The following is a 23,103-nucleotide window of genomic DNA, read 5'->3' as shown; positions in this document are numbered from 1 at the left end:
TCGGCCTCCCAAAGTGCTAGGATTACAGGCGTGAGCCACCGCGCCCGGCCTTGGATTCCACTTTTGGCTGAGTTGGCTTCTGTCACTGGCCTCCAAAAGAACCTTCACTGTAGCTGGCTGGTAGAGTGAGATGAGGATAGAGTTAGTGGGTTCAAGGTTGTCCCTGTGGTCTTAAACTGGGCTGTCCCTAAGAAATGGGCTCATCTAGTCAGTTTCCTGAGGAAACCATGAAATGCCAAAGGCTGAGGCTGTTGTTGGAACAGCTGTGGCAGTCGCTGGAGGACCCCTTTTTGCTATGGCCAGAACAGGCTGCTGAAACACAGAAAGTGCCAGTGAGTGAGGGGCAAAGCAGGAAGTGAGCCACTGGGAAGTTGGTGGGGCCTGCACGGGGCATCTTCCTCATCCTTCTTCAAACACAGAGCCCCTCATGGATAGAAGATGCTTAAACCCATTTATGCCTAGTGTTCCATTATTGGAACACTAAGCATGTGGGAGTTATTTATATCCTACTGCTCAAGGGCACCGCCAAGGTCTCATTGCAAAAATTCAAAAAATTGCAACCTCAGGCATAAATGGGTTCTCTTAGGTAGTTCTCGGAGGCATGGGAACCACTGAGTATAAAGTTTGAAGATTTACCTGAAGATTAACCCAAAGGCTGGTGAGGTAGCCAGCCTCCAAGATGGCCCCAGCAACCCCTACCTCCTGCTAGTTACAACCTTGTGTGGTCTTCTCTCACATTAAATAGGGTTGGCCTGGGTGACCAAGGGAGTACAGCAGGAGTGATAGCGTGTGATTTTCAAGGCTAGGCCATAAAAGAGATTGGTGGCTTCAACCCTGCCATGTTGGAACGCTTCCTCTTGGGGAGGGCAGCCACCATGTTGTGAGGATGTACAAGCAGCCCTGTGGAGAAGCCCATGCGTGAGGAACCAAGGCCGCCTGTCATCAATCAGCACCAACTTGCCAACTATGTGAGCTGCCTTGGGAGCAGATCCTCCAGCCCCAGTCAGGCCTTCAGGAGTCGGTCATCCCAGCTGACATCTTTTTTTTTTTTTGAGATGGACTCTTGCTGTCACCCAGGCTGGAGTGTAATGGCGCGATCTTGGCTCACTGCAACCTCTGCCTCCTGGGTTCAAATAATTCTCCTGCCTCAGCCTCCTGAGTAGCTGGAATTACAGGTGCGTGCCACCATGCCTGGCTAATTTTTGTATTTTTAGTTGAGAAGGTGTTTCACCATGTTGTCCAGGCTGGTCTCAAACTCCTGACCTCATATGATCTGCCCGCCTTGGCCTCCCAAAGTGCTGGGATTACAGGCGTGAGCCACCACGCCCAGTCCCAGCTGACATCTTGACCACAACTTTAAGAGAGACCCTGAATCAGGGCCACCCAGCTAAGCTGCTCCTGGATTCCTGACCCTCAGAAGCTCAGTGAGAGGATAAATGTATACAAATGTATATTGGTTTTGGGGTTTTTGTTGTTGTTGTTGTTGTTGTTGTTGTTGTTGTTGAGACGGAGTTTCACTCTTGTTGCCCAGGCTGGCGTGCAGGGGCACAATCTCGGCTCACTGCAACCTCTGCCTCCCAGGTTCAAATGATTCTCCTGCCTCACCCTCCCGAATAGCTGGAATTACAGGCATGCACCACCACACCCGGCTAATTTTTTGTATTTTTAGTAGAGATGGGGTTTCTCCATGTTGGTCAGGCTGATCTCAAACTCCTGACCTCAGGTGATCCGCCCGCCTTGGCCTCCCAAAGTGGTGGGATTACAGGCGTGAGCCATCATGCCTGGCCAAATGTATATTGTTTTAAGCTGCTAAGTTTGGGGATGATTTGTGCCCTACGAATAGATCTCTAAAATACCTGAGGATAAGAATGTGCTGGGCTTGGAATATCTCCAGAAATCACTCATAAAGGCGGTAATGGAGTGAGGCTGTGTGGCCCAGATTTGCCTCAGTGGGACTTCAGGCACCAAAGGCAGCTGTGCAGAGCCCTCCACCTTCTCCTGTATCTGCCCCTTTGGAAACGGAGGGAGGGAGCCCACGCCATAGGACACGGCTGCTAACATTCCTGGCCCTCTCAGGTGCACCCTGCTTCATCAGCATAACAGCCAAATTAAATCCACAGTTCCTCTGATATTCAGAATACTAGTGTTGTAGGAGTTATTAAGAAATTATTTTAGGCAGATAGAGAGGAAAAGGAGTCCTTGGAAAGTTTTTGTTTTTTAAAGCATCTCCAGAAAAGCCTTTAATATGCAAATGCAGGTCATTAGAAACTGGGTCCACCCAACATGGCAATTCCTGCAGCCTTCTTGCTCTTGCCCCACATGTTCCTGGCAACATGGCTGCCCCCACATATCCCCACGTGTGTAAAACATCCTGGCACCCTGCATTTGCATATTAAAAGGCTAGGGTGGGAGGGCCAGCTTTTTTGCGGGCTAAGTGAATGACAGGCCTGGTCAAACCAATCCCCTGAGCCCCATGCAAATCAGACACCGCCTCCTCCAGCCTCTGTATATATACCTGGCTGGTTTGCACCCCACTTGGGGTTCCCTCTCTCAGCTTTGGAGTCCTCCTCTCTCTGTCTCTGTATGGGGGAGCTTCTTCTTTCTGCCTTCTCCCTTCTTGCCTATTAAACTCTCCACTCCTTAAAACAACTCTACATGTGTCTGTGTCGTTTTATCTAAACCAGCATGAGAACCAAGGACCCTGGTGTTCCTCCAATCATCAGAGCCATATCACCAGGATTTCTGAGTGCCCTTCCTATTGGTGGTAGAAGGTCCAACTTTTCTTCTCCTGAGGGAAGTCCAAGGATCCCAGAGTGTCTGACAGTCTAAACGAGGCCATCCTGATCCGTTTTTCCCAGCAAAGGAAGAAACCAAAAAATCTCATCTAGACCTCTGAGGGCCTCAGCCTTCCCCAAACCAGAAATTCCAGCAGTTTCTCACAGTACATCTGAGGAAATGAAATACTGCCTTTACAAAACCCCCAGGGACCCATCCTGATGGAATAACTTTGGGATATTGTTGTGGTTGGACTATTTGTCTCCACCAAAACTCATGTTGAAATACTTTTTTCTTTTATATATGTGTGTGTGTATATATATACATATATGTGTGTGTATATATACATATATGTGTGTATATACATATGTGTGTGTGTGTGTGTGTGTGTGTGTGTATATATATATATTTTTTTTTTTTTTTTTTTTTTTTTTTGAGATGGAGTCTCGCTCTGTCGCCCAGGCTGGAGTGCAGTGGTGTGATCTCGGCTCACTGCAAGCTCCACCTCCTGGGTTCACACCATTCTCCTACCTCAGCCTCCCGAGGAGCTGGGACTACAGGCACCTGCCACCACGCCCGGCTAATTTTTTTGTATATTTAGTAGAGAAGGGGTTTCACCGTGTTAGCCAGGATGGTCTCGATCTCCTGACCTCATGATCCGCCCGCCTCAGCCTCCCAGAGTGCTGGGATTACAGGTGTGAGCCACCGCGCCCAGCTCTTTTATATATTTGAGACAGGACCTCGCTCTGTTGCATAGGCTGGAGTGCAGTGGCACAGTCATGGCTCACTGCAGCGTCAACCTCCCTGGGCTCAGGCAATCTTCCCACCTCAGCCCCTGGAGTAGCTAGGACTACACGTGCATACCACCATGCCTGGCTAATTTTTTTATATTTTGTCAAGATGGGGTTTCACCATGTTGCCCAGACTGGTCTGGAACTCCTGGGCTCAAGCAATCAGCCCACCTTGGCCTCTCAAAGTGCTGGGATTGCAGGCATGAGCCAGTGCACCCAGCCTATGCCGAAATGTAATCCCCAGTGTGGCCATATTGAGAGGTAGGACCTCTAAGAGGTGATTGGATCATGAAGGCTCTGCCCTCATGAATGGATTAATCTCGTGGGTTAATGGATTAATGAGTTAATTGGTGATTATAGGAGTGGGACTGAGGACTTTATAAGAAGAGGAAGGGACACTGAGGGACACCACTCAGCCCCCTCACCATGCGACGTCATGCCCTCCCACAGGAGTCTGCAGAGAGCTCCCACCAGCAAGAAGACTCCCACCAGATGTGGCCCCTCGACCTTGGACTTCCCAGCCTCCAGAACTTTAAAAATACATTCATTTCCTTTAGAAATTACCCAGTTTCAGTATTCTGTTGTAAGCAACAGAAAACAAACTAAGACAGATGTCTGAATCTGTCAGAGCAGAGAAGTCCAGGCCCCAGCACAAGCTGTCATCCTGGAAGCTATCAGACCACATGCTTCCCAGGAAAGGAAGGGAGATGCAAGGTCGTGCAAACTGCAGGAAGCCCGCTGGCCTGTCCGGGCCCTGGGGGTCTGGTGCTGCTTCTCCCCTACCTGCCTTCAAATTTACCCCACCATCCACTTCATTCCCAGCAGATCTCACTGCCTATAGGCCTCAGGTGGCCAGAGACCAGGGACCTTTCTGCTCAGGATCTGCTTCCCAAGGACTCCTACTCTTTTCTCTGATTCTCCTTTTAGGGAATCCCTGAGACGCAGGAGCACTGTGGTGACTTCTTTCCTGCTGCTGTCACAGTCACGGGGCAGAGGGCAGAGACCCTAACCTAGAAGAGGAAGGTTTTCTCCCTGATGCCCCACAATTGTGCACCCAGCATACAGGGAAGAGCCAAGGAGCCAGGGAAACACTGCCCAGCCAGCACCCAGTGGGACAGATGTGTGCCCTGGCCCCGGTGCAGACCTCACTACCATGATGGCCTGCACACCCTGCCTGCCCACCTCCTTCCCCTTGGCCTGCTGCCCCTACCCCAGGGCAGGGTCTCAGCTGAGGAGGGAGCTGTGGTCACCCCAGCACTCCTTGCCTGCTGAGTTGGGATGGGACTGTGCTTGTAGTTATTCCCACTACATTCTGGAGAACTTTCCAGGCCCTTGGGAAGCGCATAGGAGGTGCTTCTTATGCTGCAGTCCTCCATGAATGTGAGTTTATGGGAAGGCCAGGGAAACAGTGAGGCCTGGGGACAGCTCTTCAGCCATCCTCTGGCCTGAGTAAAGCCGAGTATAGCAAAGAGATACAGCCTTCCCCGACGACCAGGACAGACCCAGAGGAGCAGTAGCCACTTTCTCACCTGTAAAATGGGAATGAAGCCGGAAGCGGTGGCTCACACCTGTAATCCCAGCACATTGGGAGGCTGAGGCAGGCGTATCACCTGAGGTCAGGAGTTCGAGACCAGCCTGGCCAGCATGGTGAAACTCCGTCTCTACTAAAAATACAAAAATTAGCTGGGCGTGGTGGTGTGCACCTGTAATTCCAGCTACTCGGGAGGCTGAGGCATGAGAATCACTTGCATCCAGGAGGCAGAGGTTGCAGTGAGCCGAGATCGCACCCCTGCACTCCAGCCTGGGTGACGGAATAAGATTTTGTCTCAAGAAAAAAAAGGGGGGGGAGGAATGAGAGCTTGAAAGGAGAGAAAGAAGTAAAGCTTTTTATTCATCCTCTGCTGAGGTGCCTTTTCCAGGTTTCCAGGGGGGTGTGGATACACCCAAAGGCAGGGCAGGGGTGGGGGGGGGGGCAGCATGGGATGGGGCCCTGAGATGGCAGAATTCATCCTCAAAGGTGAGTGAGGCCTTGCTCCTTCTGGGAGCAGCAAAGCCGGACAAGCAGAGACAAGGGCTGCTTCTTGGACACAAAGAATTCCTGGAGAGCCTCAGGAATACGACTTGGGGCCTGGACACTTTGTCAAATCAAAGATTGATTGAATCAGTGAATGGCTGAATTTATGGCTGGAGATGAGCTCACTTGGAAGCAGCCCTGTGATCATGAGAAAACTTGACCCAAAAGAGGGGGAATGGCCCGGCGCGGTGACTCACGCCTGTGATCCCTGCACTTTGGGAGGCCGAGGCGGGTGAATCACTTGAGCCCAGGGGTTCAAGACCAGCTTGGGCAACATAGCGAGACCACGTCTCAAAAAACTAAACAACAACAACCAAAAAAAAAAAGAAGGAAGGAGGAGGAGAAGAAGGATAAGGAGAAGGAGGAGAAGAAGAAGGTGGGGAGGGGGTGGGGAGAAAGGGTCCCGTGAAATCCTGAAGTCAGGAAACCTGACTCCTGCGGGGCCGCAAGGGTCAAAGAATTCCCCACGTGCGGCTGAGATTTTTGCCTCAGCGCCACCTGCTGGCGGTTACTGACCCTGGCTGCAGCTAGAAGTTACCGCCTGAATGGGGAAGATTTTGCAAAGAGGAGGACCAAGCTCTAAGATGGCCTGCCTGCTCAGCAATGGCTGCTACCTGATTCATCCTGATCCTTCCAGGAGTCGGCCAAGAAAATATATCAAAGCCTGGGAAAAGGCAAGAGATTTCTGGGTGTGTTCCTTTCAGAGGAGTGCCGGGTGTTGGCTGTGACCCTCTAGTGATGATCTGATTCTTTAGGGGTGTGTGCTTGTGTGCTTTTGATTGTCTTTGATTGGCTTTATAGCTCTGTAGGGATAGAGGCAATCTGAGGAAAACAGATCACAAAGCAAATGATTCCTGCTCATAACCGTGCAAAGGAATTTTGTCCAGTAGAGAATATAAATACCCGTAAGTCAAATTCTCAGTTGAACTTATTTTAACATCTTGCTGATTCCATGTCAATTAATAAGTCAAAGAAAATCTTTGACACATGTTCATTTTAATTTGTATGGGAGTCATGATATTGCCTCTTTGAAAGTTATCCTGGAGCAGGTCCTTTGCGCATAAGAAATCTACAAAGTCTCTCACACATTTCCTCCCTTCCCTCCCACAACCGGTTCAGGTGAGACCAACAACTGCATCCTCTGGGTCCCCAGACCCAGCCTCACCCTCCAGACTGCCAGCTCCCAAGGGCAGGGGCCAAGTCTGATCCTTGCTGGAACTGCGGCGCTCTTGTAGATGCTGTTGAATGAGTCTATGGATATATTTAGATATAACTCACCTTATTACTTATTACTTATCCATTACTGGCGATGGAGCACCAATGGGAAAGGCAATGCATGCACGTGGCCGAACGCTTCTGAGCCTCAGTTTCTGCATCTGCAAAATGAGGATAACGGGTTCGGCCTACAGATGGAGAAGTCTTAAGCCAATCCTGCCTGTTTTCCATTTATCTCTTTTGGTTTCTATTCCTACCTCCTATCCCACCCCCAGGATGCTAAGAACAGGAACCAGGTCATTTCCTCTGGCTCCCCACCCTGCAAGGCCCACAGGAAGTGTTCCGTTAAGTCCTCCTACCTGGTTCATGAATGACAAGGGGAGGAGGGGTTGGTTTAAGAAGCCTGGGCGTGGAGGGAGAGGTGCCTGCTCAGCGGGAGACTCGGGCTCCAGTGCTGGAGGGAAAGGGGTACGTACAGGGAACCCCTAGGAGACAAACCGAAGGGAGAGGCTGAAGTGGCTGGACTTTAAGCAAATCTAGTGCCAAGCCCCACTCCATCCAAGCTTGAGGAGCCTACCTGCTTCTCTGGCCCTTTTTCCCCGCAAACAGCTTCCTCTGCTAAGAAGCGCCGCTGAGTCCCTCATAACTGGGATTCAGGCGCCATCTCGTGGCCATTCCTGGAACTGCCAAGGCTGAGGGGAGCCCTGACGTCCCAGGATAGAGGAAACCAGGCCAACACTTCTCCAACTTTCTGGACCTCCATCCTCCTCATCTCCATCTTCTCCTTTCCATTTATTGAGCACTGACTATGCCAGCCTCTGTGCTCAGCCCTTTACAGGCCCTTAGCACATTTATTTCTTGAATAGCCTTAAAAGGAAGTTATATTTAAGGTATGCTTATTATCATTTTACAGCTGGGCGCAGTGGCTCACACCTGTAATCCCAGCACTTTGGGAGACCCAGGCAGGCGGATCACCTGAGGTCAGTAGTTCGAGACCAGCCTGGCCAACATGGTGAAATCCCGTCTCTACTAAAAATACAAAAATTAGCCGAACGTGGTGGTGGATGCCTGTAATCCCGGCTACTCTGGAGGCTGAGGCAGGAGAATCGCTTGAACCAGGCGGCGGAGGTTGCGGTGGGCCAAGATTATGCCAGTGCTCTCCAGCATGGGCGACAGAGCGAGACTACGTCTCAAAAAAAAAATCCAGATGTGGTGGCTCACGCCTGTAATCCCAGAACTTTGGGAGGCTGAGGCAGGAGGATCACCTGTAGTCAGCAATTCAAGACCAGCCTGGTCAACATGGTGAAACCCCGTCTCTACTGAAAATACAAAAAATTAGCCGGTCATGGTGGCGGGTACCTGTAATCCAGCTACTCAGGAGGCTGAGGCAGGAGAATCACTTGAACTTGGGAGGCGGAGATGGCAGTGAGCTAAGATTGCGCCATTGCACTCCAGCCTTGGCAACAAGAGCAAGATGCTGTCTCAAAAAAAAAAAAAATTTTACAGATGAAGAAACTGAGGCACAGAGAGATGAAAGAGTTTTCCCAAAGGCACGCAGCTAGGAATTGGACCAGAATAGCTTTTCTCTGGAAAGGAGAGTGACAGTGACGCAGCTGGTCCTGCCCCTCAACAGTCATTTGGGCCTGGAGCCCTTCAGCTCTAATTCAAATATGGTTTGGGACTGGGCACAGTGGCTCACACCTGTAATCCCAGCACTTTGGGAGACCAAGGTGGGTGGATCACTTGAGGTCGGAGTTCGAGACCAGCCTGGCCAACACAATGAAACCCTGTCTCTACTAAAAATACAAAAATTAGCCGAGCGTGGTGGCGGGCGCCTGCAATCCCAGCTGCTCGGGAAGCTGAGACAGGAGAATCACTTGAACTGAACCTGAGAGGCAGAGGTTGCAGTGAGCTGAGATAGCGCTACTGTACTCTAGCCTGGGCAACAAAGCAAGACTCTGTCTCAAAAATAAATAAATAAATAAATAACGTAAAAATACAAAAAATTAGCCAGGCATGGTGGCAGACCCCTGTAATCCCAGCTCACAAGCGTGAGCCACTGCATCCGGCCAGTCTCCTGTAATTCCATCTCAGTTCCTGTTAATGCCCTTCACAGCCCCTATCACTGTTTATATGGCCTGATTTACTTAAGTGTCTGTCTCCCACCCAAGACTGTGGGCTTCCCGAGAGCAGGGACCTTGTCTGTTTTCTTCACTGCCATGTCCCCAGAGCAAAACATGGATTCCAGAATACAAAATAGGAGCTCAATAAACATCTGTGAGTAACTGATACATAGATTAATTAATGGAAGATTAACCAAAGACTTGTCCCTGCCCTGTGTCTCAAAAAAAGACACTGTCTCAAAAAAAAAAAAGCCAGAGAGGGTGCCGAGTGTGGGGAGATAACACGAGGCAGAGGCCAGGTGGAGGAAGGTCTCTTGCCCACTGGTATGCCCAAATGAGGATGTAACATGTAGTAACAAAGGGACACAATGGGAGGAACGCAGGAGCTGCTCGCCAGGCCACTGTGCGCTTGCATCTCATTACCCAGCCACACCTCCCACTGTGCACTATGAATTCATATTTTCTATAAATCCTCTAATTATCTTGTGAATAATAGCACAATTACATGGCATTGCATTGTGTGTGTGTTTTTAAAAAGTTCGTTTGTTAAACATAAACCTTTAAAATGCATGATGTTTTCCGCAGCCTTTTTATTTTTTAATTTAATAACACTGGAAGCCTTAAAATTGGAAGCAGCAGGGGCTTTTCCTTTTTTTTTTTTTTTTTTTTGAATCGGAGTTTCTCTCTTGTCACCCAGGCTCGGGTGCAACGGCGCAAACTTGGCTCACTGCAACCTCTGCCTCCCAAGGTTCAAGAAATTCTCCTGCCTCTGCTTCTGAGTAGCTGGGATTACAGGTGCCCACCACCACGCCGGGCCAATATTTGTGTTTTTAGTAGAGACGGGATTTCACCCTGTTGGCCAGGCTGGTCTCAAACTCCTGACCTCAGATGATCCACCCGCCTCGGCCTCCCAAAGTGTTGGGATTACAGGCGTGAGCCACCCATGCCCGGCCTGCAACAGGGGCTTTTCTTGACCTTCAAGAGGTTGGTCCTGGGGTAGTCTACACGCACAGTCACACTCACACAGCCACCCACCCTCACACTCACTTGCCCATGGTGCCCAGCCAGAGGGCAGAGACCTGTTCCCCTGCCACCACAGGGTGACCTTGGGCAGGTCACTGCAGCGTCTTCACTACCTGGGCTCCACCTCACTCAGCCCTTTTACACAGAACATGTTTACATGTTTTACAAAAAACATTCCCATCCTCGTGGACCTTCATTACAAAACAGTCAGAGATGTGTGTGTCCATTTTACAGACAGGTAAAATGAGGCTCTGAGAGGTGCCTGCTCAAAGCTGCTGGGGAGAGCACAGGGACTCCAGAGAAGACAAGATGGGGACGGGTGGCCTGGCATGGTGGCTCATGCCTGTAATCCCAGCACTTTAGGAGGCTGAGGCGGGCGATCACTTGAGATCAAGAGTTCGAGACCAGCCTGGCCAACATGGTGAAACCCCATCTCTACTAAAAATACACAAATTAGCCAGGTGTGGTGGTGGGCAACTGTAGTCCCATCTACTCTGGAGGCTGAGGCAAAAGAATTGTTTGAACCCAAGAGGCGGAGGTTGCAGTGAACTGAGGTCACACCACTGCACTCCAGCCTGTGTGACAGAGCAAGACTCCATCTCAAAAAAAAAAAAAAAAAAAAAGATGGGGATGAAGAGATTGAAAGGTTTAAAGGTGACCAGAGGGGCAGGAGAGTGTCAACATGAACGCTTGGGTGGGCTATGACCTTCGATAGACCTATGTTTGAATCCCAGCCCCACCATTCATTTATCTTGGGTAAATTACTGAAGCTCCCTGAGCCCCAGTTTCCAAATCTTTACAGTGGGAATAATGATAGCATCACCCCAAGATCCTCTCGTGCAGGTTCAATGAGGCAGTATGGGTGAAATAGCTGCTGTTATTTTCAGACTTACCAAGCTTGTGACCCTGGAGTGTAGGGTGAGGTGCGGTGGGGAAGAGGCCACTCAGGGTACAGCCTGCCCAGCCACAGGCTGGGGAGACTCCTGCTGTGTTGCTGCCTCTGCCTGCTAGACAGTAGTTATTTTACAATTACTATCGTCCATCCTTTCCCATCACTCCTGCTTTAGAGTTTACAGAGTGCTTTCATTCATTCATCCCTCCATTCACTCATTCAGCTTTTACAGAGTGCCTCTTATGTAAGCCAGGCATGGTGCCGGGCTTCCAGTATATCCTGGTGAACGAGGTAGGTACTGTCCTTGCACCTGGACGACTTACAGACATCCAGTAGTTAATCACACGAATAAATATGTAGTTAGAAATTGGATTGCCGGGCGCAGTGGCTCACACCTGTAATCCCAGCACTTTGGGAGGCCGAAGTGGGCAGATCACAAGGTCAGGAGATCGAGAATATCCTGGCTAACATGGTGAAACCCCATCTCTACTAAAAATACAAAAAATTAGCCAGGCGTGGTGGCAGGTGCCTATAGTCCCAGCTACTCAGGAGGCTAAGACAGGAGAATGGCGTGAACCCGGGAGGCAGAGGTTGCAGTGAGCCGAGATCGCGCCACTGCACTCCAGCCTGGGCGACAGAGGGAGACTCCACCTCGAAAAAAAAAAAAAAAAAAGAAGTGGTTTCCCTGAGAAACTGGGAAGGCCCTTCAGAGTGGACCCAAACTGAGGCAAGGTGGCCAGGCCTTTGAGCCTCCCATTAACCAGTAACAGGCTGCCCCTGGGGAGCAGACATGCCCTTGTCCCTGAGGATGGGACATTTGACTGAAATTTGAAGGCTGGAAAGGAGCTGAGGGAAATGGAAAAGAGCCCTGCTACAGAGGGAGGCATGGGGAACAGGGAGGCAGCCTTGAGGCAGCTGCAGCAGCTGAGAGGAGGTGTGCAGAGCTGGGAGGTAACCCCCGGGGTCAGGAGCTCAATTTATCGTCAAAGCAATGGGTAGCCTTGAAGGGCTTAAGCTGGAGATTGGCTGGATCTGCTTGGATCCTTCTGGCTGCCCTGTGGAGAAGGGGTCAGAAGAGGCAAGAGAGCCGGGGGGGGGGAAACCACTTAAGAAGCTGTGGAGATTTAGACAGGCCACAACCTTGGCCTCAGGCGGTGGCTCCCGAAATGGAGAAAGAAGGAGGAGGCAGTAAAGTCTGACCCTCGGGGGGCTGAAGCCAAGCCAGAGCCTCCACTATGGCTGGTTGGTTGTCTCAGGAGCAGTCACTCTGGGCTCTGGGCTCTGGGCTCTGGGACCCTGAAACAGACTCAGAGGAGATCCTCACTCAGCAGCTTACGGGGGGCTGCTCTCAGGGACCACCCCAAAAGGGAGTGAGAAGCAGAAGCTACAGCCAAGGCCTCAGCCTATTCCACAGGGAATTCTGGGGCTGAAAGGGCCCTTTAGAGGCGACCCAAACTGAGGCAAGGCGGCCGCATCTTTGAACCTCCCTGTTGACTGTTAAAAATCTAGACTTATTACAGAGCTCTCCCCCATCCCTCCCATTTGCGGAACTTCACAGGTGTTTACATACATCCAGGAGCCCACACTGGGTCAGCCTCAACTCTGGGTGCTGCTCGGCCCAGTACACAGTAGGCGCTCACTGAATGTTAGAAGGCCCAGACAGAGTGGAGGGAGGAAAGAGGCTCAAGTTCTAAGGAGGCTCCCAGCTTTCTTTGTGGTTTGGGCCCCAGGCTAAAACAGGCCAAACTGGGGAGAGAAGACCATGCAATGAGTTTGGGACATGTGAGGCTGCGGTGGCCAGCCCCCCGAGAAGCCCCACCGTGAAGGAGGAAGAGGAAGAGACCGAGAGGAGAGGACTCAGGGAGGGGGAGCCTGGAAGGTAGAGTTCCAGAACGCATGGAGGTGGCAATGATGACGCCAAGGAAGGAGCAGCAGAGATGAGGACCCAGAAGAGGGGATGCAGAGAATGCGGCAGGGTCTGGTGAGGGCAGGGTCAATGCAGGAAACAGAAACCCCTCTTGGTGTTTTTAGCAGCAAAGTATTTAATACAGAGCAGTAGGTCCTTGCACAACCATCAGAGAGGCTCAATGAGCCAGGCCTCCAGGAATGATTCCAGACCTTTCCATACTCGACCCACTGAGAAAGTCAACGCCAGAGCTATGAATTCAACAACTTACCACTGAAGCTTCAATGCAGGGATCAGAAAGCTGGATTTAAGAAGCTGCTACCCCTGCTTTCATCCCTGCGACTACCTCTGAGCAAGCTCGAGGCTGGAGCCTGACACCAGATCACCAGTGCAGAAAAACCTCGTGTTCCTGCAACCTTGCAGGCTGGCAGAAACAGCCAAAAGGGGGCACAAAATAACTTAAAATTAATAAAATGACAATTTAGCAACAACAACCAACACTTACATAGTGCCTATTATGTGCCAGGCACTGTTCTATTATTATTTCTATTTTATTTTTATTTATTTATTTATTTTTATTTTTATTTTTTTGAGACACAGTTTCACTCTTGTCACCCAGGCTGGAGTACAGTGGTGTGGTATCAGCTCACAGCAATCTCCGCCTCCTGGGTTCAAGCAATTCTCCTGCCTCAGCCTCCCAAGTAGCTGGGATTACAGGTGCCCACCACAACGCCCAGCTAAGTTTTGTATTTTTAGTAGAGATGGGGTTTCACCATGTTGCTCAGACTAGTTTCGAACTCCTGACCTCAGGTGATCCACCCGCCTCGGCCTCCCAAAGTGCTGGGATTACAGGCGAGAGCCACCGCGCCTGGCCTATTCCTATTTTGTAAATGAGGAAACTGAAGCACAGAGAGGATTGAGCCTCACTTCTGCCTTCCAAACCCTGCTGCAGTGAGTCTCTTGGTGGAGCCTGTCCCCCACGCAGGCACAGCAGGGAAGGGACAGGCAGTGCTTTGCTGTCCAGCTGCCCCAGCTAGGAGGGTAAAATGGACTTGAGAGAGCCAAGCCACAGCGTCTGCCCCACAAATCACCACTACCACTGTCACCTCTCCACCAAGACTATGATCTGCCACCACCATTAGCAATCACTTGAACTACCCTCAAGTCATTACCAGCCCCCTCACTTCCTCCGCCAACATCGAGATCTAATAGAGCCATCACCTTTTCGTCACTCAGCATCACCATCAATGTCACTGCCACCGCTGCCATGATTACCCCCATTACTCCCACCCTGGCGGCAGGGTGGTGTCGAGATGGCAGTGAGATCACTTCCTTGCCTTGGTGCTCCCTGTGGTAATTGCTTAATGAGATGTTTGCAGCTCTGAGCATACTACTTACCCTGCACAACTAGGAACCCTCCCCAGGTTCTGATGAGGCCAGGATGGTTTGTGAGCGGAGGGCTCTGCGGCTGTAGTGTGGCTGGGAGGGTCTGAGAGCACCTCTGGAAGGCCCATTTTGTCCGTCCCCCTGCCTCATCAATGTTTTGCCTTTGTGGTGGAGAAAAGCAAGAGTGTGATAATGTAGGGAACTCGAAGAATCTGTCTAGGTCAACTTACACAACTGACTTCCCCTCTCTGGGCCTCAGTTTCCTCATCTGCAGGATAGGAGCAAGAAGAATTATCTGATCGAGTAATGTGGGGATTCGAGGTAATGCAAATAAAGAATCTGGCACAGTGCCCAGCGCCCAGGTGGCTCCCACATGGAAGCTGCTAATATCTTTATTTTATTAAACATTTATGGCTGGGCACCGTGGCTCACGCCTGTAATCCCAGCGCTCTGGGAGGCCGAGGCAGGCAGATCACCTGCAGTTGGGAGTTGGAGACCACCCTGACCAACATGGAGAAACCCCGTCTCTACTAAAAATACAAAATTAGCCAGGCATGGTGATGCACGCCTGTAATCCCAGCTACTCGGGAGGCTGAGGCAGGAGAATTGCTTGAACCTGGGACGCAGAGGTTGTAGTGAGCCAAGATCACACCATTGCACTCCAGCCTGGGAGACAGAGAGAGACTCCATCTCAAAAAAATAAATAAATAAATAAATAAATAAATAATTTATATAATAGTCACTTTGTGCCAGGCATTGCTCTGACACTTTACAAATTTCAACTCACTGATTTAAACCTCCTGAGATAGGTACTACTATTGCTCCCATTTTACAGATTAAAAAAACTGAAGCAGAGTTAAGTAGCTTACCCAAGATGACACAACTAGTTAGTGACAGAGCTGGGATGTAACAAGGGAGTCTGAGCTCTTAATCTTGGTGCTCTTTGGCCCTAAGTGCTTCACCCTGTTCTAAAAACCTTCCCTGCCCGCCCTGGCCAGGCTGAAGAAGACTCTGCTCTTTTTGTCTGTCATTTGGAAAAGGGCCTCCAGAAGTCAGTCCCTTGTCTTGGGATAGAAATGCCCCCACTGACCTTGTCCAGGGCCTCCCATCCCCCCCAGTCAGGAAGTCCTTCCTGTTGTCTGACTTGAATCTGGGCTGAGGCAGCAGTTCCCAGGGAAGAACCTCTTCAGCTGGGATACCTGGTGGGAGGGGCCTCAGGAGATATGGTGGAGGAGGGAGGGGGCTCAACCCTGAACTCTCAGAGAGTGGAATTTGGGGGGCAGGTTCTGGGCATCTGAGTGGTGGCAGAGCTCTGGGGCAGGAAACCCTGTTAGCTCCTCTCCAAAGGGATCTTGCTTTCCCCACCCCTCCATAACTGCACCAGCGACTTCTCAAACTACCTCCCAAGCTCAGATAAAAGCAGGAACGAAGGAAGTGACAGCATTGGACAGGCCAAGCCTGCTGCAAGACATCTGGATATCACTGTCACCATCAGACACCACATTGGCAACTGCTACCAAAGACCACTTTTCTTTCCTTTTTTTTTTTTTTTTGAGACAGAGTCTCCCTCTGTCACCCAGGCTGGAGTGCAGTGGCGCGATCTCAGCTCACTGCAACCTCAGCCTCCCGGGTTCAAGCAATTCTCCTGCCTCAGCCTCCCAAGTAGCTGGGATTACAGGCATGCGCCACCACGCCCGGCTAATTTTTTTTTTTTTTTTTTGTATTTTCAGTAGAGACAGGGTTTCACCATATTGGCTGGGCTGGCAAAAGCCTCCTTTCTAAGTGAATTCTTACCCTCCTGTCTTGGCATCACTCACTCCAAGCCCTGGGCTACGCCCCTTGGCCGCCCCAGGTTATGTGCCCATGTCCTCTCTGCCAGGGAGTAGGAAGAGGGGTCTGTGGTCCCCTCCAGCTTCTATAGTGGGCAATAGGGCCCAGATGTCCATCAAGACTCATGTAGTGGGGGCTCCTCCCCAAAGAGAAAGGGGCTTTGAATGTAATGGGAAGACAGGAAGGGCTGTCCTTTGATAAGAGGAGGAGTTCGTCCTCAGGAGTGAGGGAGGAAGGAGGAAATGGGCACAAGGCAGACAGAAAACAATGAAAGTCCTGCTCAGAGAGGAAGCCCGGGGGCCGGGATACACATAGAAGCTGGAGGAAATGCTGCCCTCTGTACCAAAAGCAAATCAAAGTTGGAGGCGCCCGGACCTCTCAACCCCAGGAGGCTCAAAGCCCCTTGAGCTCACCCAGCAACCTCTGCTGCCCCCCACCACAGGGGCACCTGCAGAGCACTAGCCCCTCTTTCATACTCTGGCCCAAATGTTGGGGGGAAGCTTGGCCCATTCCCTTTAGAGCCCGGTGGAGAGAAGAAACCAGGCTTGGACCTGCAAACAAGATGTTAGCAATGGCCCAGGGACAACAAAGGGGAAATAAACACAGACATGTACTATATATTCCATGTGCATTTATCTGGTACCAGCCAGATTCCAGGTACCACAGACAATGAGCACGCTGCCCTCATGGAGCTTACACTCTAGTGGGGAAGACCCTGAAACAAGTCACACTGCAGTAAACAAGGTGACCCATCAGTGCTGGGCTGACCACAACAAAGGTGAAAACATGGAGAGTAACTGGGGAGCCCCCTTTAGAGGGAAAGGTCAGGGAAGGGCTCTTTGGGCCAAGACTGGGACGATGAGTAACCAGACACGCAGAGACTGGGAGGCAACTGTGGGCTCCAAGTCCCTGAGGTAGGAACAAGCTTGTTGTGCTTGTAGAACAGAAAAGGGGCCAATCGAAGCTGAAACACAAGGAGCCGGGGGTGGAAGGGGGAGATGAGGCTAAAGTCATCCCGTAAAGAATCAGCATTTTATTCCAGCCAATGGGAAGTCACTAAGGACTGTCCTTTAGGCCTGGCGTGGTAGCTCACGCCTGTAATCCCAGCACTTTGGGAGGCAGAGGCGGGAGGATCACTTGAGGTCAGGAGTTCGAGACTAGCCTGGCCAACATGGTGAAACCCCATCTTTACTAAAAATACAAAAAGATTAGCTGGGCGTGGTGGTGCACACCTGTAATCCCAGCTACTCAGAAGGCTGAGGCAGGAGAATTGCTCGAACTTGGGAGGCAGAAGTTGCAGTGAGCTGAGATCGCGTCACTGCACTCCGGTCTGAGCTAGAGAGCAAGACTCCGTCTCAAAAAAAAAAAAAAAAAAAAAAAGACTGTCCTTTGATAAGAGGAGGGACCCAACCTCAGATGTGAGTCAGGAAGGAGAAGAAGAAGGGCACGGTGCAGGTAGGAATACAGATTACACCATGGAAAGGTGAGCGCGTCCCACAGCTGGGCTCCTGTCTCCTCAATGCAGCATGAGGCCAGGTCATCACTGCACAGTGGAGGAAGGGGAGAGTGGCAGGAGATGTGTTCATTAGGTCACATCAGGTTTCCAGTTTCCTGCATAGAGCCACAACACAGCCCTGAGGACCCTGGGCCCTAATTGGCCCTCATACCCCTGGGCACCTGGCCGTGTCCCTTGAGTGACAGAGGCATTTACTTCACTGGCCTCTTCTCCCCGTCACTGAAAACACACCAGTAACTGAAGCTTCAACCATCACAATCACAATGTCAACTATAGCCACAATCATAATCACAGTCACACCAACAGGCACAAGGGCAGGACAGGAAGTCCTCAAGGGTACCCTAACTTGGCAAGCCAGCAGGACCCCAGCCCCTTTCTGGGCCCCGTGGAAGGCAACGGGACTGTCCTGGAACAGGTACGGGGGGTGCTGGAGCCAATTCTGCACATCTCTTCACAACTTCACGTGTAGTGGCGTCATGTGGGTAGCCTGAAATTGACCATGGTGGAGGGCTTTTGGTTATTCTTTCCAGCTAGCCAGTTTACCAGAATCCATACCTCTGGACAGAGCCCTGAGGACAGTTAGAGAAGCTGTGCCCTCCCCGCCCCCACAAGTCCAGCTGCCACTAGAAAGAGCTGGTTGTGGTACCACTTTCTTGTGTAAGCACCAGGACCTTAAGTAGGAACAGTGGAAGGAGATGGCCAGTCATGTTCACAGAGTCCTGGTGGCTGAGCTGTAAGGTGGGGAATGTGGGTCGAGATGGGGAGTTCATCTGCCCTGAAAACCCACCCAGTGGTGAGTCAGAGACCCTGGGCCTCAGCTCGGGGACATCACCTTCACTCAGAGCCTCTGCTCTAGCCCAAGAGCCTAAGACCTGTGGGCTCCAAGACGCCTGCCTAACTCACCCTACTAGAACAAGAATCCTGGGCTGGTTCTGTCCTGGGAGAAGCTAAGAGCTGCTTCTCCCTGTTCCCTGATCCCAGGATGGGCCCTGACCTTGGTCATAAACTGAGCCTGTGCCCAGTGACAAAGATCTCCACCCAGGCCCAGAAAGAGCCCCACCTGTTCTGGGCTAGGCCTCGATGGGGTCACTCACAGAAAACGCACTCACCTCTATCTGATCCTGCCACAGGCCCCAGCTTGGCCCTAGACTGGAGACAGAGCCTGGCCCTTGAGCCCAGACATGCCCAGAGAAGGGCTGGCACAGCCTCTCTCACCTCTGTTGTCAGGGCTTGGGCCTCCTGCCTGGGAAGCAAAATAGTGAAAAACAAAAGCAAGTTAAAACCCACTATCATCTCCTTGCGTTAGTGACACATATCTGTCTTAGGAAATAAAGCATAAAGGCAAAGTGTATTTTCAGAGGCACTAAAACTTCTCCCCTTCCCTGCTGGGCGGGTGCTTTGATTTGGAGTATTCTTGCCCTAACCCCTCCCTCCCACGGTACCCAAACACAGGCCCCAGTTGCTCAAGCAGGAAAGACAGGGAGCTGTGAAAGGCTCAGAAACTTCATCTGAGACCCTAAGGAGTGGGGGTCAGAACCTTATCTGGCTTCTGAGCTTGGGCAAGACCCTTCCCCTCGGTGGGCCTGAGCTTCCCCCTCTGTATAATGGTTTAGACTTCCAGCTCTGGTATTCGAAGTTAAGGATCCTGATGGTGGCCAGGCGGGGTGGCTCATGCCTGTAATCCCAGCACTTTGGGAGGCCGAGGCGGGTGGATCACTTGAGGTCAGTTGTTTGAGACCAGCCTGGCTAACATGGCGAAACCCTGTCTCTATTAAAAACACAAAAGCAGGCCAGGCGCAGTGGCTCACACCTGTAATCCCAGCACTTTGGGAGGCCGAGGCGGGCGGATCACCTGAGGTCAGGAGTTCAAGACCAGCCTGGCCAACATGGTGAAACCCCGTCTCTACTAAAATATACAAAAATTAGCCGGGCGTGGTGGCAGGCGACTTAATCCCAGCTACTTGGGAGGCAGAGGCAGGAGAATCGTTAGAACCCAGGAGGCGGAGGTTGCAGTTAGCTGAGATAGAGCCATTGCACTCAAACCTGCGGGATAACAGCGAGACTTCTCTCAAAAAAAAAAAAAAAAAAAAATACAAAAGCAGCCGGGCGAGGTGGTGCACACCTGTTATCCCAGCTACTCCAGAGGCTGAGTCAGGAGAATCTCTTAGAACCTGGGAGGCGGAGGTTGCCGTGAGCCGAGATCGCGCCACTGAACTCCAGCCTGGGCAACAAAGGGAGACTGTCTCAAAAAAAAAAAAAGGATCCTGATGGAAATTTAGAGCCCCACGTTCAAGGGTTGGAATGGTATTCCTGGATAATCCAGGCCCAGAAGACCCAGAAAGCTTCTCCTAAAACATGTATGGCATATCAGGTTCAGGTCCTGGAATGTCCTCTGAGCTCTAGCACCTTGTCCTAGTGACTTGGCCTCTCTGGGCCTCAGTTTTGCCATCTGTCAAATGGCAAGAACACCGAGTTTATGAGGATAAAACATGACAGTGGCAAGAGAAGTGTCCTGTAAACTGCAGAGTGCAGTCCTCCTGGGAGGGAAGGACAGTTGTTGTTGTTGTTAGGGGCTCATGTTTTGCCTTCCAGCGGCGCCGGGCGAGCAGATTAGCCTGGCCTCGTTCTCACGGTGGGAGACCTCCTCCGTCCTCCCCAGGAACCACGGCCCCTGCCCTGCCCAGATCAGCAATAGCCCTCCATAAGCCTCCCACCTGGAGGGAGGTGGCGGGCAGGGAACAGCCAGGTAACCGTGGGCTCCTCACTGCAAGGGCCCAGCTCAGATTGAAGGCAGAGGGAACGAGCGAGCGAGGAGGAAGTGGGGAGAGACGGAAGGAGGGGCAAGCGAATCAAAGCACTAGGGATTTACTCACCCAAGCAGGGACAGGGAAGGAGATGGGGCTAGCAGGGCGGGGGACGCCCATGCGCCGCCCCTTCAGAGGACAATTCCCGGGGCCTCACTCCCTCCCACTCTCTCCCTCCCCCGCGGCCCATTCCCGGTGCGACTCCTCCCGTGGGAACTGCTGTCGCTGCAGCGGGCGCCCTGCCACGTGGATGCCAGGAATCAGACTGGGCGGCTGCGGCAGGGCGGGCGCTTCCCTGGGCAGCGATCAGGGCAGGCCTGGGAGAGGGCTGACCCTCACTGGGGTCTGGGGAGAGGGCGGCTCTGGGCGGAAGGGCACCTCGGGAACTGGACGCCCTGGGCTTCGCAGCCCCTCAGATCTGCAGCCAAGGTCATCTTTTCCCAGCTTGAGGAGCAACAACTGGGCACCACCTGGGAGCAGGTTAGAAATGCAGGCTCTCAGGTCTAGCCCCAGACTTGCTGACTCAGAACCTGCACATTCCAAGGAATGTGCCCCAGGTGGCTCCCGGGCACTTTCAAATTTGAGAAGCCTTTTTTCTACAAGAGTAGGCCTGAGTATTTACAGGTTTAAAAAGACGCGGTGGCTCACGACTGTAATCCCAGCACTTCGGGAGGCCGAGGCCGGCTGATCACGAGGCCAAGAGATGGAGACCACCCTGGCCAACGTGGTGAAACCCCGTCTCTACTAAAAATACCAAAAAAAAAAAAAAAAAAAAAAAAATAGCTGGGCTTGGTGGCGTGCGCCTGTAGTCCTAGCTACTCGGGAGGCTGAGGCAGGGAGGATCGCTTGAACCCAGGAGGCAGAGGTTGCAGTGAGCCGAGATCGCGCCACTGCACTCCAGCCTGGTGACAGAGCAAGACTCCGTCTCAAAAAAAAAAAAAAAAAAAAAAAAAAAGACAGACAAGGCCAAGGCCAGGCACGGTGGCTCATGCTTGTAATCCCAGCACTTTGGGAGGCCGAGGAGGGCGGATCACTTGAGCCCAGGAATTCAAGACCAGCCTGGGCAACACTGTGAGACCCAGTCTCTACAAAAAAAAAAAAAAAAAAAAAAAAATTAGCCAGGTGTGGTGGCGTGCACCTGTAGTCTCAGCTACTGGTGAGGCTGAGGTGGGAGAATAGATTCAGCCCAGGAGGCAGAGGTTGCAGTAACCCTTGATTGAGCCACTACACTCTAGACTGGGCAACAGAGCGAGGCTCTGTCTCAAAATAAATAAATAAATAGGCTGGGCGCAGTGGCTCACGCCTGTAATCCTAGCACTTTGGGAGGCCGAGGCGCACCTGAGGTCAGGAGTTTAAGACCAGCGTAGCCAACATGGTGAAACCCCGTCTCTACTAAAAATACAAAAATTAGCCAGGCGTCGGCCAGGCGCGGTGGCTCACGCCTGTAATCCCAGCACTTTGGGAGGCCGAGGCGGACGGATCACAAGATCAGGAGATCAAGACCATCCTGGCTAACATAGTGAAACCCGTCTCCTCTACTAAAAATACAAAAAAAATTAGCCGGGCATGGTGGTGGGCGTCTGTAGTCCTAGCTACTCGAGAGGCTGAGGCAGGAGAATGGCGTGAACCCAGGAGGCGGAGCTTGCAGTGAGCCGAGATCACGCCACTGCACTCCAGCCTGGGCGACAGAGTGAGACTCCATCTTAAAAAAAAACAAAACAAAACAAAAGAAAAAAATTAGCCAGGCGTGGTGTCACATGCCTGTAATCCTAGCTACTTGGGAGGCTGAGGCAGGAGAATCACTTGAACCCGGGAGGAAGGGGTTGCAGTGAGCCAAGATCACGCCATTGCACACCAGCCTGGACAATAAGAGTGAATAAGAGTGAAACTCCATCTCAAAAAAAAAAAAAAATTAGTAGTGTATAAATAGACCACATAATCTATGAATTGTATTCCATTATAGGAAAGGGGCATTGCAAGATACTTGTTACAAAAGGGGGCGTGAGGCCTGCTGGGGCTGGGAACCCACTGAGGAACACTCACTCCTGTTTTCAATCAACAGCATGGCTCTGAGGAAACAGAAGCAGGAACTAAATGGCGCTTGAATCTGAGGAGCTTCTACCCTGGCAGGCGAGATGAGATAGAGACGCAAATCGCCACCTTCCTGAGCCTCAGTTTCTTCACCTGTGAAATGGGCTTTCTCACCACTCACCTCTGCCTGCCTCCCTGCAGGGTCGGATCAGATGGGCCGAACCAGCTTCTAGACAGGGAGGGGCTTCATGAGCCGCTCCACACCTGAGGGAAGGGAGATTGGAACATCTGCCCTGCTCACATCGTGCCAGGGACAGCTCAGGCTTCTGTGCCTATCTTGGTCTTCAGACTCCAGCCTCTGGCCCTGCAGATTCTCTCTCAGGGCCTCGTCTGCTTTCTCTGGTGTCCCTCTCTCTTCCACCTTCCTTCTCCACTCCCCTGTATCCCCGCACCACCGAAATCCACACCTGTCTGAAGCTTGTACCAAATTAGCAAATTGGCAGTTTCTGAGGAGGGCAAGCCAGCCTTGACTACATACCAGACACTGCTCACACACTGGGTCTTTTATGCTAGCCCTGAGAGGTAGATGGTGATGACCTAATGAATAGAGGAGAACACCAAGGCTCAGTGAAGGGGAAGGGTTCGCACCCAGGTCACCCAGCCAATAAGAGGCCAAGATGGGATAAGAACTGGAGCTTTGGCCGGGCATGGTGGCTCACGCCGGTAATCCCAGCACT

General features: G+C 51.6%; 1 long non-coding RNA gene across 6 annotated transcripts in view, besides 6 other annotated features; it reads right to left on the bottom strand.

Moving 5' to 3' along the window:
• LOC101928391 (uncharacterized) overlaps positions 1–20,476 on the bottom strand; it is a 33,828-nt gene extending 13,352 nt beyond the window's left edge. For 3 of the 6 annotated variants that reach the window (XR_007065559.1, XR_947110.4, XR_947115.2), the window contains exons 1-5: positions 20,405–20,476; positions 18,641–18,774; positions 14,198–14,346; positions 7,215–7,340; positions 6,919–7,016 (exon numbers count right to left, since the gene is read on the bottom strand). This is a non-coding gene — a long non-coding RNA (uncharacterized LOC101928391). Of the gene's footprint in view, positions 1–6,918; positions 7,017–7,214; positions 7,341–7,432; positions 7,517–14,197; positions 14,347–18,640; positions 18,775–20,404 lie in introns of those variants that run through there. The other 3 variants (XR_947112.4, XR_947111.4, XR_947114.4) reach the window with 3 other exon arrangements.
• Positions 965–1,780: an enhancer, noted in NCBI's record as "H3K27ac-H3K4me1 hESC enhancer chr1:27376945-27377760 (GRCh37/hg19 assembly coordinates)". NCBI's record gives its function as "activates a minimal SCP1, AML or CMV promoter by ChIP-STARR-seq in naive H9 embryonic stem cells {active_cell/tissue: H9 hESC(naive)}" and the evidence as "EXISTENCE:reporter gene assay evidence [ECO:0000049][PMID:30033119]".
• Positions 1,781–2,598: an enhancer, noted in NCBI's record as "OCT4-H3K27ac hESC enhancer chr1:27376127-27376944 (GRCh37/hg19 assembly coordinates)". NCBI's record gives its function as "activates a minimal SCP1, AML or CMV promoter by ChIP-STARR-seq in naive H9 embryonic stem cells {active_cell/tissue: H9 hESC(naive)}" and the evidence as "EXISTENCE:reporter gene assay evidence [ECO:0000049][PMID:30033119]".
• Positions 5,430–5,930: an enhancer, noted in NCBI's record as "H3K4me1 hESC enhancer chr1:27372795-27373295 (GRCh37/hg19 assembly coordinates)". NCBI's record gives its function as "activates a minimal SCP1, AML or CMV promoter by ChIP-STARR-seq in naive H9 embryonic stem cells {active_cell/tissue: H9 hESC(naive)}" and the evidence as "EXISTENCE:reporter gene assay evidence [ECO:0000049][PMID:30033119]".
• Positions 9,408–9,960: an enhancer, noted in NCBI's record as "H3K27ac-H3K4me1 hESC enhancer chr1:27368765-27369317 (GRCh37/hg19 assembly coordinates)". NCBI's record gives its function as "activates a minimal SCP1, AML or CMV promoter by ChIP-STARR-seq in naive and primed H9 embryonic stem cells {active_cell/tissue: H9 hESC(naive and primed)}" and the evidence as "EXISTENCE:reporter gene assay evidence [ECO:0000049][PMID:30033119]".
• Positions 13,771–14,271: an enhancer, noted in NCBI's record as "H3K4me1 hESC enhancer chr1:27364454-27364954 (GRCh37/hg19 assembly coordinates)". NCBI's record gives its function as "activates a minimal SCP1, AML or CMV promoter by ChIP-STARR-seq in naive H9 embryonic stem cells {active_cell/tissue: H9 hESC(naive)}" and the evidence as "EXISTENCE:reporter gene assay evidence [ECO:0000049][PMID:30033119]".
• Positions 16,827–17,328: an enhancer, noted in NCBI's record as "H3K27ac hESC enhancer chr1:27361397-27361898 (GRCh37/hg19 assembly coordinates)". NCBI's record gives its function as "activates a minimal SCP1, AML or CMV promoter by ChIP-STARR-seq in naive H9 embryonic stem cells {active_cell/tissue: H9 hESC(naive)}" and the evidence as "EXISTENCE:reporter gene assay evidence [ECO:0000049][PMID:30033119]".
• Positions 20,477–23,103: the final 2,627 nt, after the last annotated feature.

The sequence above is a fragment of the Homo sapiens genome, chromosome 1 (genome assembly GCF_000001405.40).
Source record: "Homo sapiens chromosome 1, GRCh38.p14 Primary Assembly".
Lineage (NCBI taxonomy): Eukaryota > Metazoa > Chordata > Mammalia > Primates > Hominidae > Homo > Homo sapiens.
This window is presented reverse-complemented; position numbering and strand designations above follow the sequence as displayed.